The sequence below is a fragment of the Homo sapiens genome, chromosome 12 (genome assembly GCF_000001405.40).
Source record: "Homo sapiens chromosome 12, GRCh38.p14 Primary Assembly".
In the NCBI taxonomy this organism is placed as follows: domain Eukaryota; kingdom Metazoa; phylum Chordata; class Mammalia; order Primates; family Hominidae; genus Homo; species Homo sapiens.
The window spans coordinates 79,809,105-79,827,865 of record NC_000012.12 but is presented as its reverse complement, the minus strand read 5'-3'; the positions used below and the strand labels follow the sequence as shown (position 1 = coordinate 79,827,865).

The 18,761-nt window shown below is 33.8% G+C and overlaps 1 protein-coding gene and 1 long non-coding RNA gene across 6 annotated transcripts in view; one reads left to right on the top strand and one right to left on the bottom strand.

Annotated features, from left to right (window-relative positions):
- PPP1R12A (protein phosphatase 1 regulatory subunit 12A) overlaps positions 1–18,761 on the top strand; it is a 161,898-nt gene that overhangs the window by 107,595 nt on the left and 35,542 nt on the right. For all 5 annotated transcript variants that reach the window (NM_001244992.1, NM_001244990.2, NM_001143885.2 and 2 more), the window contains 5 exons: positions 5,676–5,750; positions 6,700–6,788; positions 6,935–7,092; positions 10,348–10,472; positions 17,856–18,071. In NM_001244992.1, the coding sequence (NP_001231921.1) occupies positions 5,676–5,750; positions 6,700–6,788; positions 6,935–7,092; positions 10,348–10,472; positions 17,856–18,071 (663 nt within the window). The remainder of the gene's footprint in view (positions 1–5,675; positions 5,751–6,699; positions 6,789–6,934; positions 7,093–10,347; positions 10,473–17,855; positions 18,072–18,761) is intronic.
- LOC124902974 (uncharacterized) lies at positions 2,668–4,085 on the bottom strand. Its single transcript, XR_007063387.1, has 2 exons — positions 3,929–4,085; positions 2,668–2,876 (listed from the first exon to the last, which is right to left on the bottom strand). It is a non-coding gene; the product is annotated as an uncharacterized LOC124902974 (long non-coding RNA).

Below are 18,761 nucleotides of genomic sequence, written 5' to 3'. Positions count from 1 at the left end.
TACAGCAGGTGATGACAGTAAATATAACTATAAAGTTTTATGCCAAAGGGGATCATTGAGATGCAACATCATCTAGTCTTCTAGTTTTGTAGATGAGAAAATAGTTCAGTTGAGTGAGGTAAATGATGTACTTAATACCACAATTACGTAGAAGGAGGGAGGGAGAAAATGTCATACAAGCGTTTTTCACAAAATCATGAAAAGATTCAGGTTATCAAGTTTCTTGTTAAACTAGACTTCTCTCCTCTACTCCTTTTTAGATACACTATCAGTCAATAGCCAGTCACCAGTATTCCTGCTAGTCTCTTCCTACTCTGTGTTGGTAGGTAATAAGTATCATGGAGAACTCAAAACACGTCTCCTCTAGTGGGTTTGATTACCTTTCCATAGAATGTTCCTTGTATATTGCATTTTATAGGATAATATCATAGGTTATGTAGCAGAGATTCATAAAATGACCTCATCTTTATTCAAAACAGGGCTAATTCTTTTGCTGTTTTTGGAGTAGAGTTCTAAATATCTTATTTTCATTAACTGATTTAAAAATATATTTTATATAAGAAATGTGCAGGCATGAAAATCATAGGAATTGGTAAAAGTCTTAAGGAAAGTAAAAAAATTTGGGGGAATGATTGGTTTGTACTTATATACAAATACAAAAATCTTTGGGTTGAATTTTTAGTTAAAACTTTCAATAATTTACTTTCTCTGTTGTTTTTCATCATAATAGTTGTTTTGTAATCAGCATTAGAAGACAAATAAATATTGATACTATTCAAGTAAAAGGCCAGCTAATTTTAGCTTCGCAAGTCGTGTTACCTCTCTTTTCATGTAGAAATTCCCCTTCAGAAATTTTTTTCTGAAAAGATTAGCAGGTACCTATTAGCCTCTGAACTCTGGTCTGCATTCTTCTCTCCCAAACAGTGACCTTTTACCACATGTCCATTCATATGGGCAGTGCTGATAATTGGTTCATTTAGTAACAGTAGCCTCCGGATGAGAACTAGATGAGAGAAGCTTATTAATTGAAATGGTTTCCAAAAAGGATTATTTCACTTACAAGTTGAAACATGGTGTGTTTCCCCTACTGAATCAGTATTCTAGTGAAACATACACAATATATTGTATGCATGAGAAAAATCATTTTATTGGCATCTGGCCAACAATTGTCTAATTCCTATGCTATACAATTTATCATAATTTTGCTATCAGAGAAGGAGTGCATGTAAAATTATTTTGCCTTATATCCTTTTTTAAAAAATTACTATAGTAGCAGCTCCTTATGTCACTCTAAATTTTATTTACTCCTTATCTGTCATTCGATATTTCAGTAGATCTTTATGTGATAGTAAAAGAATTGTGAGCCAGGCTTTGTGGTATGCACCTGTAATCCCAGCTACATGGGAGGCTGAGGTAGAAGGATCGCTTGAGTCCAGGAGTTCAAGGCTGCAGTGAGTCATGGTTGTGGCACTGCACAGCAGTGGGCAACAGAAGGAGACCCTGCTCAAAAAAAAAAAAAAAAAAAAAACCCGAAACAATTGTGCCTCATATTTACATAGAATTTAAAGGTTTTCAGCCTTTTTTACACATATTACCTAATGCAATTCTTTTAACGACCCTGTGAAATTAAGTTTTTTGGATTCAGGAACATGATCAGAGAAGTCAAGTATATTTTCCTAAAACCCTGAAATTGTTTTATCTTTTTATTCTGCTAAGTTCCTCTATAACTTCTTTTCGTTTTAGTTTCCTCATCTTTTCTTTTTCAAGATACTATTAAGCTATAAAAATATAAATTTTAATCAAAATATTTTTCTTTTAAAAATCAAGATTTTAAAGACTGCTTTTTATAGTGAGGAGCTACATAATGTCTATAGCATTCTAAAGGACTTTGTGCCATAAATATATCCAAATACAAGGCTTTTTTTTTCATTTGAGAAGTTCTATTTTAAGACCTTGATTTTTAAAATTTTAATTTCATAACTTTGCATGTATGAATTAGACTGTTTTTATTGTCTGCATTTTAAATTGTCATACATCATGTTCAGTCAAAATAAATTACTTTGTCTTAATTATGTAAGCCTGCCTATGTGAATTTATATTGTCATTGGATACCTTCCTTAGTACTTACAGATTGAAGATTATTACTAAATTGTTTTAAAAATGATATTAAAGATGTGCACTTAAGGTACTACCAGAGTTTAGATGAATTATTTAGTACTAGAAAACATGATTTGGGAAAATAATGTATAATATAGTAAGTGTAACAAATATATAGAAAATCTGAAACTTTCTACATGGAAGTGGGAGAAATGGTCTAAAAATATTTAGAGATTTCAGTTTCATTTCTTTAAATTATTTGCAAACTGTAATACATATTTACTGTCATTTTAATTCATTATTATAAATTATGTGATACAGACCTTAAATACAAAGGTTTTTATTTGCTTTCTTAATTTATTAAAATAATTGCTTTACTAGAATGTATCTAATATTGTTCTTTCTTTAAATATTGACTAGAATGCTTTTCTGGTTGGAATTTCTCTTACCAAATTAATACAATGGTTAGCAGACAAGTTTTTAGATTAATATAACTGTCATTATAAAGATTTAAATGAATAACAAAGCTATTTCTGCTATTAATGGACACAAGAATTTTTTTTACCCTAATTCCATCTGAATTTATTTTTATTTTTGATAAAGACAAAATGACACACTAGTAGAGACCTAGATTGTATTCCCACTTTCTCTTAATGACCTGTATGACCTTGGGCAAATACCATGCACGCAGACTGAGTTTCTTCATCTGTACAGTGAGAATCATTCTGATACTTGTCCCAGCTACATTATTCGTTGTTGTGAAGATGAAGAGGTTGTACCTAAAAAAAAATTTGGTTAGAATAAGTGAGTAAAGAAAAATGAAGAAACTATGAAGTTAGACTTATAATGTCTCTAGTGTGTTTGTGACTCTTAATAGACGTATTGGACTGATTTTTTTTTAAGCAGTTACTTTTAAGATAGTTCTCTTGATAAAGTTTTCATGTTCTCATACCTCAGCATTGTGTCCTCATTTGTTGCCTGGTTGCTTTGAGTGACACTGCTTATATACTATAAATGTGTTTATACTCTATCAATGAAGCATAATAGCCTTATAGTAGTTAAGAACCAAATAATGTTTATAACTTCATGACTGTTAGCTTTATAACTGTGCTGCAGATTGTTTAAAGAGCATGTTTAAGTTGATGAGTTAAGTTGATGAGTGTGCTTTTTTTGAAATTAGAAATTCTTATAGCCCACATTTTACTCTAATTTGATTGTGTATCAGCTGCTGTTTGCAAAGTAGATTCATTTATCAAGGGAGAAAGTGAAAATAAAGGTTAGTAGAGTGATCCAATTTCTTATTCTTAAAGAGGAGAGTTCCTTGATTATTAAAGTGACTCCATTGCATTTAACTGCTAGAAAAATTTAATTACAGTTCAAACATTTTCAAGGTGGGGTAGTTCATTCATGAGAAGGGTTGATAATGCTTAAAATGATATTTAAAAAGAAGTCACTGAATTATTTCCACATAACATAATCTTAAACACACTTTACATTAAATAAATAGCATTATTAACATTTTAGAACTGATTATGTAAAGCATATGATATAGCAAAACTAGAATTAACATGTATTTCTAATTTAAAGGGCACCTTAAGTTTTGAGCCAGTTATTTGATTTCAGAACTATTTATTCTTCAGGAATTTAAATTTTGGCTTCTATTTCCCAAGATTGAAATGGGAGGAAAGTTTGTTAAAACTAAAACTTTTTATCTTGGACTGAGTGGGAAAGGATAGATTGTCTCTTAAATTCCTACTGGTAAGACTTTCTAGCAAGAAAAGGCAAGTATGATAAGTATTTTCGAATCTTGTAAATTTATATACATACTCACCTATTTTGAAAAAGCAGTATTTTATATACTTTGAAGATATTCTTCATAGGGCTGGGCACAGTGGCCCATACCTATAATCCCAGCACTTTGGGAGGTGGAGGTGGGCCTGAGCCCTGGAGTTCAAAACCAGCCTGGGCAACATGGTGAAACTCCATCTCTACAAAAAAATACAAAAACTAGTCAGGCGTGGAGGTGTGCACCTGTGGTCCCAGCTACTCAGGAGGCTGAAGTGGGAGGATCACCTGAGTCCCAGGAGGTTGAGGCTGCAGTGAGCCACGATCGTGCCAGTGCACTCCAACCTTGGTAACAGAGCAAGATCCTATCTTTAAAAAAAAAAAAAAAAAAGATACCTTTCATAGACAATGGCTTTTTATTTTATTAACAGACAATGGGAAAACTAGCTCAGATATTGGCTAGCTTATAGTTTGTTTTGTAGTGTTTGGAAATTAGCTCCTTTCTGAATACATGTTAACATCCTGATGTTGGTATAGAAACGAGGTTTGTTGTTTGTTTCTAAACGGAAAAATTAATGTGATTTTAGAAGCCATTATTTCTTATCCATTCTGATCTTGTTGTGGATATAGGAATACTATTAAGAAATTTTAACTTTCTTTCAGAATTATATTTTTTGTTGCTAAAAACTTTTTTTTTTCTGTGAAAGGATCATATACTGGATAACATACAAAGAAGACTGTATTCTAAATAATGAACTTGTAAGCATCCTGGAAACTTGTACAGTAGGGCTATTATAAGGACTAATGCAGGCAGCAGGAAATATTCTTACTATGTTTAGTCAGCAGCTCTTTGAAATTTTTCTCTTTCACAGTGAATTAAAATGGATTGACATATGTTCATGTGGACTAATTTTAAAAATTAAGCCATACCTGTGGCTGGCTGAATGTTAAACAGCTTAAACATATATATATTTTTAGTTTTATTACTCTACCAAGAAGTTAATTAAGTTTTAGGAAGTCATCAAAAAGAAAAAGTCTCAAAAGGTTAAATTACCCAGTAATTTTGCCCTTAACTGTATGTTGAAGAAAATGAAAACAGGTGTCCACACAAAAAGTTGTATATGAATGCTCATAGCAGCATTATTCATCATAGGCAAAAAAAAAAAAAAAAATGCAGATGTCCACCTGATGACTAGATTAGCAAACTGTATATATCATGCAATGGAATATTATTCATCAAAAGAAATGAAGTGATACATGCTATAACATGAATGAACCTTGAAAACATGTAGAGTGAAAGAAGCCAGTCACAAAGAACCATATATTCTATGATTCCATTTATAGGAAATGCCTAGCATAGGTAGACCTATAGAGACAGAAAGTAGATTAGTGGTTGCCTTGGGCTGGATGCAGACAGTGACTACTAAAGGGTATGTTCCTACTTCTTAGGGTGATAAAAATATTTGAAATTGATTATTTTGATAGTTGTACAACTCTGAATATCCATAAAACCATTGAATTGTACACTTTAAATGAGTGATTTGTATGGTATATGAATTATATCTCAATAAAGCTGTTACCAAAAAAATAAGGGGAGATATTCTCAGCTTCTGTCTCACATAAATTTCACATACATTGCCTTAGAGTTGTATGTTTTTACAGTAGTTATTGTATCATAACCACTGTAAAAAATGTTATCCAACGTCTTTATATAAAATTATACAGAATTACTGAAGGCATTTTATGATTTATTGACTTTTGACCATCACCATCCCCCCTTGTTTCCTACGTAGGGCCAAACAGCCTTTGATGTAGCAGATGAAGACATTTTAGGATATTTAGAAGAGTTGCAAAAGAAACAAAATCTGGTATGTTTGATGACTAATAATTGCCTATATTACTTACCTTAATAATTTTGAATTTGAGACAATTACAAAAGTATTCTTGTGATGTTTTGTACTTTTTGGTTTTAAGTTATCCTTAAGTTTCACTAAATGATAGTGAAAGAGAATAAAGGATGGTGATATTTAGCCTTTTGTGTTGCTTATCCCCATTTCTATTTCCTCCCCTTCTCAAAATGAATACTCATATATGTCCTCAAGAATAACGTTTTTATAATTTCATTAGAGTGTTTTACTTAAAAGATGGAATCTATAAAATCTCATATATCCAATAGCAGGTCCTAGATAAGCAAGGAGTTATATCACTAGAAAACAGTTTTTTTTTTTTTTTGGAGATGGGGTCTCACTCTGTCCCAGGCTAGAGTACAGTGGCGCGATCTCAACTCACTGCAGCCTCCACCTCCTGGGTCTGAGCCATTCTCCTGCCTCAGCCTCCTGAGTAGCTCGGACTACAGGTACACGCCACCATGCCTGGCTAATTTTTTGTGTTTTAGTAGAGATGGGGTTTCACCATGTTGCCCAGGCTGGTCTTGAACTCCTGAGCTCAGGCAGTCCTCCCGCCTTGGCCTCCCAAAGTGCTAGGATTACAGGTGTGAGCCACTGCGCCCAGCCAGAAACAGTTCTTTAAGTAAAATATCCTCAGCCAGCCTAAGTGGTTAGTGGATCTCGACTTTTTCAGTAAAGTTGGAGGGATGTAAAAAATCCATCTTAGCCCTGCATGGAGCTTTTTAATTGTCTAGTCTATTTCATTCTTTATTCAAGCTCTTTCCTTTTCAGGTAAAACTTAATTTATTTATTTCTTTGTTTTGTCTTATTTAATGTCTGAAAAACTACTTTGTTATTATTTTAAACTCTGCATCTTAGTAATAGTATCTTAATAGTTTTCTTATTTTCCTTTGCATAACTTTGTACAAAGCTCCATAGTGAAAAACGGGACAAGAAATCTCCACTAATTGAATCAACAGCAAATATGGACAATAATCAGTCACAGAAGACCTTTAAAAAGTGAGTAAAATATTCAAGTACATTTGTTATTTTTGTTAATGAGTTGGCATAGTGGCCACAGGCATGATTATTGTGGATCTGGGAAGAATGAATATATTTTAACCTTTTGTATTTCTAATCATTTGAACACTGTTTTCCTTTAACAGCAAAGAGACGTTGATTATTGAACCAGAGAAAAATGCATCCCGTATTGAATCTCTGGAACAAGAAAAGGTTGATGAAGAAGAAGAAGGAAAGAAGGATGAGTCTAGCTGCTCTAGTGAAGAAGATGAGGAAGATGACTCGGAATCAGAAGCTGAAACAGGTAAAATTAAAAGATAAATGCATTTTCGTTGAATTTTGTGGCAGTGTAAAATAAGACAAGATGAGACGTAATTTTTAAATTTTTCAGACTGATTTGCTACTTGTTTAGATACCTGCCACACTACTAAATTATCTTTCAGTGAATGCTAGAAACTTACATATAGTTGTGAATTTATTATTATTTAATTATCTGGAGGCTGTTGTTCACCTCTGCATTTTGCCGACCTATATTTAAAGAAGTTGCAGAGGCTTCTAAGACTCCTTAGGTACAGATAGGTTGTGAGTGGGTTCTCAGCAATTGAGAAATGCTCCTGTTCCTTCTGAGGTCCAAACGTCCAGGATGCCGGTCCCAACAGCATCCCAAATTTTCCCTAAGAAATAGTAAAGTAGGAATGGAGTAAAAACTCTTTCCTGTGAGGGTGTGGGGGAATTTGCTTTGTTTTGAGAAATTTTAAAGATACAGAAAAGTATAATAAACAAACATTCATATTCCAACAACCTCGACTTAAGACTTTAACTACTGTGACATTTAATCATATTTACTTCAATTTCTTAAATGAAGTTAAAACATTATAGATGTCTTTTTTGGTCACCCACCCTAGTCTGCTTCCCTTTCCTTCCTTCAAAGGCAATCACTGTCATGAGTTTTTTTCTGTAATCTTCTAGTTCATTTTTATAGTCTTACATATGTGTATTCATATGTAACATATAACAATTATAATATTGTTTTGTGTTTTTTTCATATGGTAGGAATTGTTATACATCTTTTTTCACTCAAAAGTTATGTTTTTTATATTTGTCCATAAATCTATTTCTATAACTTGATCTGCATTTTTTTTTTTTAGCTATTGTATAGTATTCTATTAAATATGTCTGTTTCCATTCTGATGAACATTTACCTTATTCTCAAACTCCTGGGTTCAAGTGATCCTCCTCAGCTTCTCCAGTAGCTGGGACAACAAGCACATGTTACCATGCACATCTAATTTTATTTTTGTTTTTTGTAGGGTTAACTATTTTGCTGAGGCTAGTCTTGAACTCCTGTCCTCAAGCAATTCTCCCACCTCAGCCTCCCAAAGTGCTGGGATTACAGGCATGAGCCATTGTGCTCAACCTATAGCCTAAAGTTATTTTTATGCAGTTAATCTCCTCCCTGGGAGACATTACTTAGCTCTCAGTCTGTAGTCAAGTATATCATTACAAATTAAACTATGTGCACAAGAGAGCCAAGACTTGCACCCAGATCTCCTAACTTGTATTTTAAGTCTTTTACTACTTATGTAGTATAATTCAAGAACTAGAAGTCCAGGCATCTCTTTCAAAGATTTCTAGGTTTTTGTTCACTAAATTTTTTCTTCATTAGCCCTTGTTTGTATACAAGTCACTGTTCAATGTTAGACACCAAGGAACTATTTAAAACAAACAAGAGACCTTAGGCCAGTTTTACCACTAACCAGCAAATCTTCTGCTATCTTTTGGTTGAATTTCCTTGATTATAAAATGAGAAAAATCGGGCTATATGACCTGGATGGTTCTTAAAACTCTAGTATTCTATTAAATATAACTAATTACCATCAAATTGCATTGTATTTGTTCCCGGTTTGGAATTGAAACGTACTAATTGCTCTCTACTCAGTTTCTCACTGAGCTAACTTTAAATGTTCCTTTGAAGCATTGTACTATGATAATTTTGTTCTTCCTGTTGCTAGTGGCAGTTGTGCCAGGAAAATTTGACTCTGTCTCAAGAATTAACCCATTGTAAACGCTGTGTGGTTCCTTTCCTCTCACTCTCTTAATATCAGCTAGGCTTTATCATACTTTATTTGGAAAGCTTGAGAAAGCAGCCATTTCCCTGTAGAGCTACAGCTTAATTTGACAATTTGTAAACCATTTGTTCTTTCTACTTTTTGTAAGGTTATTTCCTTGGGAAACTATTTGACATAAAATAACTATTTTGCTGAATTTTGTAAAATAAATTATTTGCCAAAACAGTTTTTCTTCAGTGTTCTTTCTCTTCTCATAAAGCAGATAAAAATGAGAGTGCAACCATAAGTTTTAGTTACCTTTCAAACAATTTACAAATGTGAAAGTTAGTTGAGAAAATGAGAAAGAAGAGTACATTTTTGCTTTTAGGGTTCTTTCTTCTAGGACTTTTTTGTTCTTTGTTGAAATCAAATGGATAGAAAGACTACAGCAATATTAATAACATTTACAAAGTAAGTTGGATGGTGGGGCTGGGTGCTGTGGATCATGCTAGTAATCTCAGTAGTTTGGGAGTCCAAGTCTGGAGGATTGCTTAAGCTCACGAGTTCAAGACCAGCCTGGGCAACATGGGGAAGCCCTGTCTTTACAAAAAAAACACAACAATTAGTAGGTGTGGTAGCGCACACCTGTAGTCCCAGCTACTCAAGAGGCTGAGGTGGGAAGATCGCTTGAGCCTGGGTAACAGGCTTCAGTGAGCCAAGATCATGCCACTGTACCCCAACCTGGGCAACAGAACAAGACCCTGTCTCAAAGTAAATAAATAAGTTGGATGGTGGTACATGGGGTTTATCTTATTTGTTATTTATATCTCCTACTAGACTGCAAGTGAAGGTATTTTGTCTTTTCATTGGCTGATATATCCCTAGTACCTAGGGCACTACTTGAAGAATGGGGACACTTATTATTTGTTGATTGATTCTCTACACAGTTAGGTGGATTATTTTCCAAGAAGATGATATTGTGCCCATTTAACTTTAGACTTTTTAGGAGTGGGAAAACATGCTCTTTGGGACATTTAACCATACTGTTTGACAGGAATGTAAGGTAATTATTGACAAAAGCACTTTTAGATTTCCTTGATTAAAGAGGAACCATCAGTTTTAGATCAGTAATAATAGTTGTTTATCCATTAGAAAATTGCATAGCTACTGTTAAGGTTTTAGTTACATTGCATTCATGCATTCAAGTTTTAAATCTTAAATTTCTTTTTATTTTCTTCATTTTAAAAGTACAGAAGTCAGATTCTATTTGTGCATTTTATTGTCAGAAGCTTTGTTGTGTATCTTTATTATCTTAACTATTTATTTCAGCATATATATAGAGACAAGTCTAGAAGCTCCCTGAAAAACTGACTTGCGAAAAGGAATCACAGTGGGGAAAGACTTTTAGTTAACAAAACCTTAAACAAAAATGGAATATAAAATGATTTTTTCCCAGCCATTGAGACCAAATATATATGGAATCTTGACTCTTAATTGTTTGTCTTTAATAGATAAGACAAAACCCCTGGCTTCTGTAACTAATGCCAACACTTCTAGTACACAAGCAGCTCCTGTAGCTGTTACAACACCTACTGTGTCATCAGGTCAAGCAACACCTACATCACCTATTAAAAAGGTAAGCCAAAATTGTATTTGCTGAAAATACATGTATTCTATTTATGTACCACTTGGACTAACTCATTAAAGTAATTCTGAATTTTTATAGTCTGTTCCAAAAATATGTAAGATTTCAGAATATAAATATGTATTTATGTTTCTCAGTTGAATGAGATTTCTTCTGAATCATGTTTTTTTATCCTTTTTGCAATTGATATTACTGTTGATATTACAGTTGGTAGTTAACAAATATTACATACAGTTGATAGTTAATAAATGGCAGAAAGATAAAAATTTTTGTAATATTAAAATCAGTGATTGTATTAGTTTTTTTTTTCTATTGAACTTTTATTTTGAGAAGCTCAGGTTTTATATCCTTTATCTCTATTAAGTAGAGGTGTGCATGTTGATAATTTCACACACGGGTAAATTACAAATACTACTACCACAAGTCAATGAGAGAACTAAAATCTAAATTTTTTAAACTCATAGTACAAAGCACTAGGCAGGCAACTTTGGTATGTCAGTAGGAGCATGATCTCTGAGGTCAGATAAACCAGAGATGAGCTCCTGACTCTACCTTATTAGTTGTTATGACCTTGAGCAAGTTACTTACTATCTTCCTTTTGTATAACAAAATAAAGAGAAATACAGTTAATATTGTAAGGATTGGTTGAGATAGCCTGGCCAGTAAACTGAGTGTGTTTTCAAAATGTTAGTTTCATTTCTTTCTCTTCTTTCTGTTCTCTGTCTGTTCTCCATCCCTCTCATCTCTTCTCTCCACCGAAGCAGTGTTTTCCAGTTAGTGTGTTAATCTTTTTAAGACTTTACGTTTTCCTGCTTCTCTGGAACCTATCTTTCTTTTAACCCAAATTAACGATTAAGAGTTTTTGTTTGTTTATGTTTGACCTACTAGTCTCTTTTCAAAGATTTCTCTTCACCCGTCCTTTTTTTTATCTTTTTTTATCATTTCCCTCTCTGTCCACACATACCTTTTTTTTTAACCAAACCCTTGAAAAATTGATTGCAGTAATCATAACACTTCATGCCTAAATATGTCAGTATGTATCTCCTAGTACAAGGCTATTCTTCATTCTCAAAATAATCACACTTAGGAAATTTAACTTTGGTATAATACTATTATGTTATTAATAACTAATATACCCAGATTTTCCCAATTGTCCTTTGAGTATTTCTGTTTGTTTTTTAAAATCAGGGGTCCACTTGGATTGTACATTGTGTTTAGTTGCCTTTGAACTTCTTATTTTGTTGCTCGTTTGACATTATGTGCATGAGTTTAAGGACTGATTGGTTTTTAAATCCTCACAGCATTTCTGTTGTGTTGTCAGTCTTGCCAATATTTGGATTTGGCTTTAGGTGGTCAAAATATAGATCTTTTTGAAATCATAAACTGCAGAATAAAAAAAAAAATCCCTGCTGTTAGTAATAATCCTTCTCTCAAACTTCCCAAGGAAGGCAGTAATGTAAATTATTAGTGGTAGAAACGTGTTGGTTTCATTGGTACATAGTTTGAATATTGAGAAACTATGAATGACTTATCTTACCTTATATATTCCAAAACTGAGGGCTTCTTGAATTCAGTTAGAACTCATGTTCATATGATAATAATTATGTATGCTTCAGTTAAGAAATTCTCTAAAAGCAGTTTGTCTGCAAAATTTTGAAGACTGTTAATCATCCTATAACTAGCGTCACTATAAACTGCTTTAATTAAAGTTTATTTTACTTCTAAGACCCCCATGTACTTCTTCAGTGAATACTAAATTCATTCCTGCATCTTTTGATCTGTTTAGACTATAATGTTATCAGAAATTCCATCTCCCTGGAATACCTAGGCAAGAAACTGGCTATCTTTTTTTTTTTTTTTCTTTTTGAGGCAGTCTTGCTCTGTCACCCAGGCTGGAGTGCAATGGCACGATCTTGGCTCATTGCAACATCTGCCTCCCGGGTTTAAGCGATTCTCCTGTCTCAGCCTACTGAGTAACAGGGATCACAGGCACCTCCACCACACCTGACTAATTATATTTTTAGTAGAGATGGGTTTTCACCATGTTAGGGTATTCTCGAACTCCTGACCTTGTGATCCGCCCACCCAAAGTACTGGGGTTACAGGCGTGAGCCACTGCACCCAGCACTGGCTCTCTATCTTTTGGGTATTTGGCTAAGTAATCCCTTTCCTACTACAGTCAAATGATTACGGTAAACTTCCTGTGTTCAATTTTCTTTTTCTTTTTCTCACATATAGCCAACATTTATGGCAATGTAGTTCTCAATTTATACCTAATGCCCTAACTGAAAAGAAATACTTTATAACCTCTGTTAGTATAGTGGGCCAGTAATCTCTTTGCTGTAAAAGTTCTTATTCAAAATCACTCTTGATTCTGTAATTAAGCTAATATAATAACATCTGCTTCTAAATTTGCATATTTAGAAACTATTTTATTCTCAGTTTCAAGCACCATAACTTACTTTGAAGATTATATTGTTTCTTTGTTCTTAAAGTTTTGTAACCAAATTTTATTCAAAACGATCATGTGTAAAAATTTTGAATTTTTTTTTTTTTTTTTTTTTTTTTTGAGACAGAGTTTCACTCTTGTCACCCAGGCTGGGGTGCAGTGGCGCAATCTCGGCTCACTGCAACCTCCACCTCCCAGATTCAAGTGATTCTCCTGCCTCAGCCTCCCGAGTAGCTGAATTACAGACACCTGCCACCACACCCAGCTAATTTTTGTATTTTTAGTAGAGACGGGGTTTCATCATGTTGGCTGGGTTGGTCTCAAACTCCTGACCTCAGGTGATCCACCCGTCTCGGCCTTGCAAAGTGCTAGGATTACAGGCATGAGCCACCGTGCCTGGCCTGAAATTTTTTTTTTAATGAAGAGGGGGAGTCCTTTTTTTTTTTTTTTTTTTTTTTTGAGATGGAGTCTTGCTCTGTTGCCCAGGCTGGAGTGCAGTAGCACGATCTCGGCTCACTGCAAGCTCCGCCTCCCAAGTTCACGCCATTCTCCTGCCTCAGCCTCCCAAGTAGCCGGGACTACAGGCATCCACCACCACACCTGGCTAATTTTTTGTATTTTTAGTAGAGACGGGGTTTCACCGTGTTAGCCAGGATGGTCTCGATCTCCTGACCTCGTGATCCACCCGCCTCAGCCTTCCAAGGTGCTGGGATTACAGGCGTGAGCCACCATGCCCAGCCGAAGAGGGAGTCTTCTTATCAATACTGTATGACTTTTAAAACCTGTTATTTTCAGTGATTCTTATACTCCTGTATCTAATTTAGCATATTAGTATTTTTTAAAATTTTTTCAAGTTTATCTGTAACTTTAGTGACCTAACATTAAATTTCCTTAAACAGGTTGTTAATTTCTAATTGCATCTTAAAAGGTTTTGCAATTATCTGTTTTTAGGTTCCCAGTCATGACTCCACTTCTAATATTTAGATAAAGTTATCAAGTTCTCCAGCTTCCTACCCCAGTACATAAACTATGTATGTGTGCACTTGTGTTCATGGCAAGACAGATCACAAAAATGGAAGCACACGAAACAGTTTTACATGCTTATTTTCTTTTAATAACTTGGGGTAACTATGGTGAAAGATAGATGTGTTTACTTTAATTCCTTAACCCTTCCGCTGAAATTAAAGAACTGTTTCTGTAGCAATATCAAGCTGATGATTTGTGGAGATGTTATCTATAAAACCATCAGTTTGATTTTGTGCTTAAAATTGTTAACTAACAAGTTTATATAAGCCTCTCTGGTCAAAATAAATTTTGTTGGGATCTCTAAAGCAGATTATCTATTCTTCTATATGGGTGTACATTCCAATAAAATGTAAATGGCATTTTCTTTACTTGATGGTAAAAATTCAGAATTTTTATGGAATTAAGTGTTCTGGTTAATTGAATTCAATGTAATAGCTAATAATTTAACAAAAGACTGCTATGTGCTGTGGGTATATAAAGTAGTCCAATCGAAACGTACAGATGTAGCATGATTTAAAAGGAGAAGAAATTATATTTGACTTAAGGTAGTAGAATCAGGACATTTTAGATAAATCTTAAAGTAGGTAGTACTCCACCTGAGAGAAGAAGGGCTTGTAAACCTTGTTGAAAGGGAGAGAAGAAAAACAATATGAGCAAGTGGGGATAATATGGAATACTTTCGCAGGAAAAATGAATTGTTCCATTTGATTGATTTATAGGGTGCATATATACAAAGTAAACAGGAAAAGTAGAGCTATATTGCAGGATGTCTTCAACTGTAGGATAACACTTTTATAATTTATTTGATAAGTAGTAGTCGTGGAAGATGTTTGAACAATGCCATGAGAGGATTATTCTTTATAGAATATTATTCTGACAGCAGTGTACAGATTTGAAGATGAGAGGCTTATTGAGAAAAGGTTTATTAGAAAGTCATTGAAGTTGCCCACAATGATAAGAATATGAACTAGAGAAGTGACTCTGGGCTTATAAAGGAGAGGAGATTTAGAGACTTGACCTCTAATTTATGGATGGAGGAAAATGACAGAGAAGGTCTAACATAATTGTGAAGTTTGAAACATAGGAGATTGAAGAGATATACTTAGTGCCATTAACAGAATTAGGGAACTGAAGAAGAGATGGTTTGGAAGTAAAGGTGTTTTATTTTAGACATACTGAGTTTCAAGTTTTCAGTTATAGTTCTAGATTGTCCACTCTAGAATAGTGTGGTAGAATTTTACCTAGAATAGACAGGTAAAATTAGGACTGGAAATTTAGGAGACTGGACTGGAGAATAACACATTTGAGAATAAGCTGACTACAATTAATATTTAGCCTGAGGAAGTAAAGACCCTCCTCCTAACCCCCCAGGAGAAGAAAGTAGAAAGAGAATATGAGAGATCCAAGAGCAGGCTCTGGAAGGGCTAGCACAAGGAAAGTTGTACACACACACACACACAAACACACACAGCCTGTATAAGGAACGTTACACACACACACACACACACACACACACACGCACACACAGAGTCAGTCAAGAAAAGGAATGGTCAGAGTAAAAAGAAAAAGAAGGTGAAGATAGTGTCCAGTAAAAAAAGCCAAAGAAGAGAGTTTAATGGAGGAGGAGGTATAGTTAAGTATTTCAGGAAGGGTTTATTTATATATCAAGTAAAATTAAAAGGTGCTTTTAGACATATAAAGCAGTACTTAAATCCAAGTTCATGTTGGGCAGAGTGGAGGTATATCAGCCATTACAGTGTAACAAATGCCCATTTCAAAATTGATAGATAGTACTGCCTCGTTTTTCTCAACTCTAAAATAACAGTAATAGTAGTATTTCATTGGGTAATTATAAGGTTGAAACAGGATAACCCATGTGAAGCACTTAGCTGAGGGTCACACACTAGTAAATATTTGTTAAATGTTAGCTTCATTTATAACAATAAATGTTAGCTTCATTTATAACAATAAATGTTATCTGACTGACTGACTCTGGCTGTTTTATAATGGGGGAAAAAACGTTTGTTTCCAGGTTTTTTGTTTGTTTTTTTGTTTCTGTTTTTTGAGGAGGTGGGAGACCTAATGTGGGTGTTGGCAAACTATGGCTGGTGGGCCAAACCTAGCCCATTACCTGTTTTTGTATAGCAAACTGGTTGGAGAAAAAAAATAAAAAAAAGTCATTGTCCCTAAAGTTTTATTGGTTACAGCCACACTCAATCATTTGTGTATTAATATTATCTGTGTTCCACAAAGCCTAGCATTTACAGTGTAGCCCTGTAAACTCACCAATCAATAAGCAGCTGTCTCAGTACCTATCATATTGCACAGAATATTAGAGTTCGCAAACTTTCTTGGTCATTGGAGCCCCTAGTGTTTGGTAGGATTTTTTCACAGTGCCACTGGCAAAAGGAATTGCCTGTTTGTCTCATTAAGTAGTTTGATGGAAATGTGATCAAAATGGCAGTTTGTGCAGTGTCTATGAGATGTCACTGTGCTTCTCTCAAAACTTTAAAATATTCTACAGAGCCCCCGTGATTTTGTTGTGACACTCTGGAGCACTTTGGTGCACATTTTAGGAACTGAGGAATGCTTAGACACTATTGATAGCAATTCATTACTGGAAGTACCAGAGGTATATCTTTATAACAGTTTTGTCCATGAAGTGGCCCTCAAGCATCATCATGGGGGCTTTAACAAGCCCTGTTAACCTGCTAATTATAGCAAATGTTGGCAATAGATATGAAAGAAATGATTTTTAAAAAATTATTAATACCCTATGCTTGTGGCAACTAGTTAGTTGCTGTATTCACCAATCTATATAGTTAACTGTGGTTGAGTATAGAATTTCTAGAAGTGAAGTTGATGAAGTGATCTAAAGATAACAGAGGTTGCATTTTTAGGGTTGTTGGAAAGCCCTTAAAATAGCATAAATATTTGTACATAAAATTAGTTTTTATTATAGTTGAAATAGTTAATGTTTGGTGGGGAAATCAGTAAATTTAAGGCTGTGATGTTAAAAAAAAAAGTATTATAATTGGAAAAATATCAGTTACTAGTTTTTGTTGATTATATTGGACACAAAATTTTTTAACCAGAGTATATACATGGATTAAAAACAAAATTCATGTGCAGTAGTTTGTTCAGTCACATGCTATATTATCTACTCTGTATGCCTTTTAATTGCTTTAGAAGTTTATTAGATTTTTTTCAGATTATCTCATGCTAAAATTAGAACTTGTTCCCAGTGACTTTTAAAGATTGGATCATTACCCAATTATTGGGGTTAATTATAAAATTATTTTCAAATGAAGAAAATATTTTTTGTTCATAACTTCCCTTTTCTGTTTTCATGCTTTCAATCTTTGTCTCTTTACCTGTCTTATTTTAATTGGCTTTAGTATGATTTCATTGCTCCTATCATGCCTGTGGTGGAATCAGTAGATCCTGCATCATGGAGGCAGGGCTTGCGCAAAACTGGCATTGTTCTTGTGCCCAGTAAGGGTGAAAAATCTATGGTGAGGCATTTCTATGTGCAAGAATTTATATTAGGTTACAACATAACAAGTTTAATATAAATTGGTTCCAAAGATGCATGGTTTTAAGTCCTTATGGTGTGCTCATTTCTGTTTTCTGTATTTGCATCATAATTTTTCTGTGTGATATAAAGTGTGTAGTGTGTTTTCTTAAGTCTAACCCCTAGGAAGGTAGTCTATTTCTTTAAAATTTTTAGATCTTTACATTTTTTACTAAGACATTAACCTATGTAGTAAAAGTGTTTTATCCTGAAACTGTAAACCATAATTTTAAATATATTATCTGTAAACTTATTGTTTCCAATTTAAGGACTGATCAGCTTTACAAATTCTTTTTTCTTTTCCTAAAAAATAAAATAAACACAGTTTCCAACCACAGCTACAAAAATTTCTCCCAAAGAAGAAGAGAGAAAAGATGAGTCTCCTGCAACTTGGAGGTTAGGACTTAGAAAGACGGGCAGCTATGGTGCACTTGCTGAAATCACAGCATCTAAAGAGGGTCAGAAAGAAAAAGATACTGCAGGTGTTACACGTTCAGCTTCAAGTCCCAGACTTTCCTCCTCTTTGGATAATAAAGAAAAGGTAATCTATTTCACAGTCTGGTTTCTATGAAAACTGTTATGATTTCTTTTCCAGGAACATCAAATCTGGTAGATTTTCTGCTAGTTATCTTTAGATCTAGGTATCAAGTTAATTAACCTTAATGAATTACATAAGACAAATGTAATTTATACAGAATTATAAATACTGGAAAGATCAGATGTATTTGCCTAAAACATAAATTATGGGACTATACTCCGTTAAAGGAATCTATTACCTTACTTGAGAATTTATAATAGAACTGTATTAAGGAGCAGGCTTATTTTGTTTATTATGATTCAAGAAACTTTCTGAAGTTTAAAAAACATAGGAACACATTTATTCTAGAATGTTAGTATACTCATAAGTTACATTTATTCAGTATCTGAAAAAAAATACCAGATTTTTCATCTACCATATTACAAGCAACTTTGTCTTAATGAGTAAATTTAATAACTATTTTGAGAGGTGGTATTAATACTGCATTATATAGGATGTACCACAGTTTATTCAATACTAGTATTTATTTCTACAGCATATTCAGTGCTTGAACTATTTTTTTTGCCCATACAGTTTTCTTTCTATACTTAGAAATGTTTCCTTATATCAGAAATTCAGATGAAATTTCTCATCAAGTAATTCTAATATTTTTGCTTTTTTATCAGTTTACTGTGCAGTTGGTTTCCAGGTATT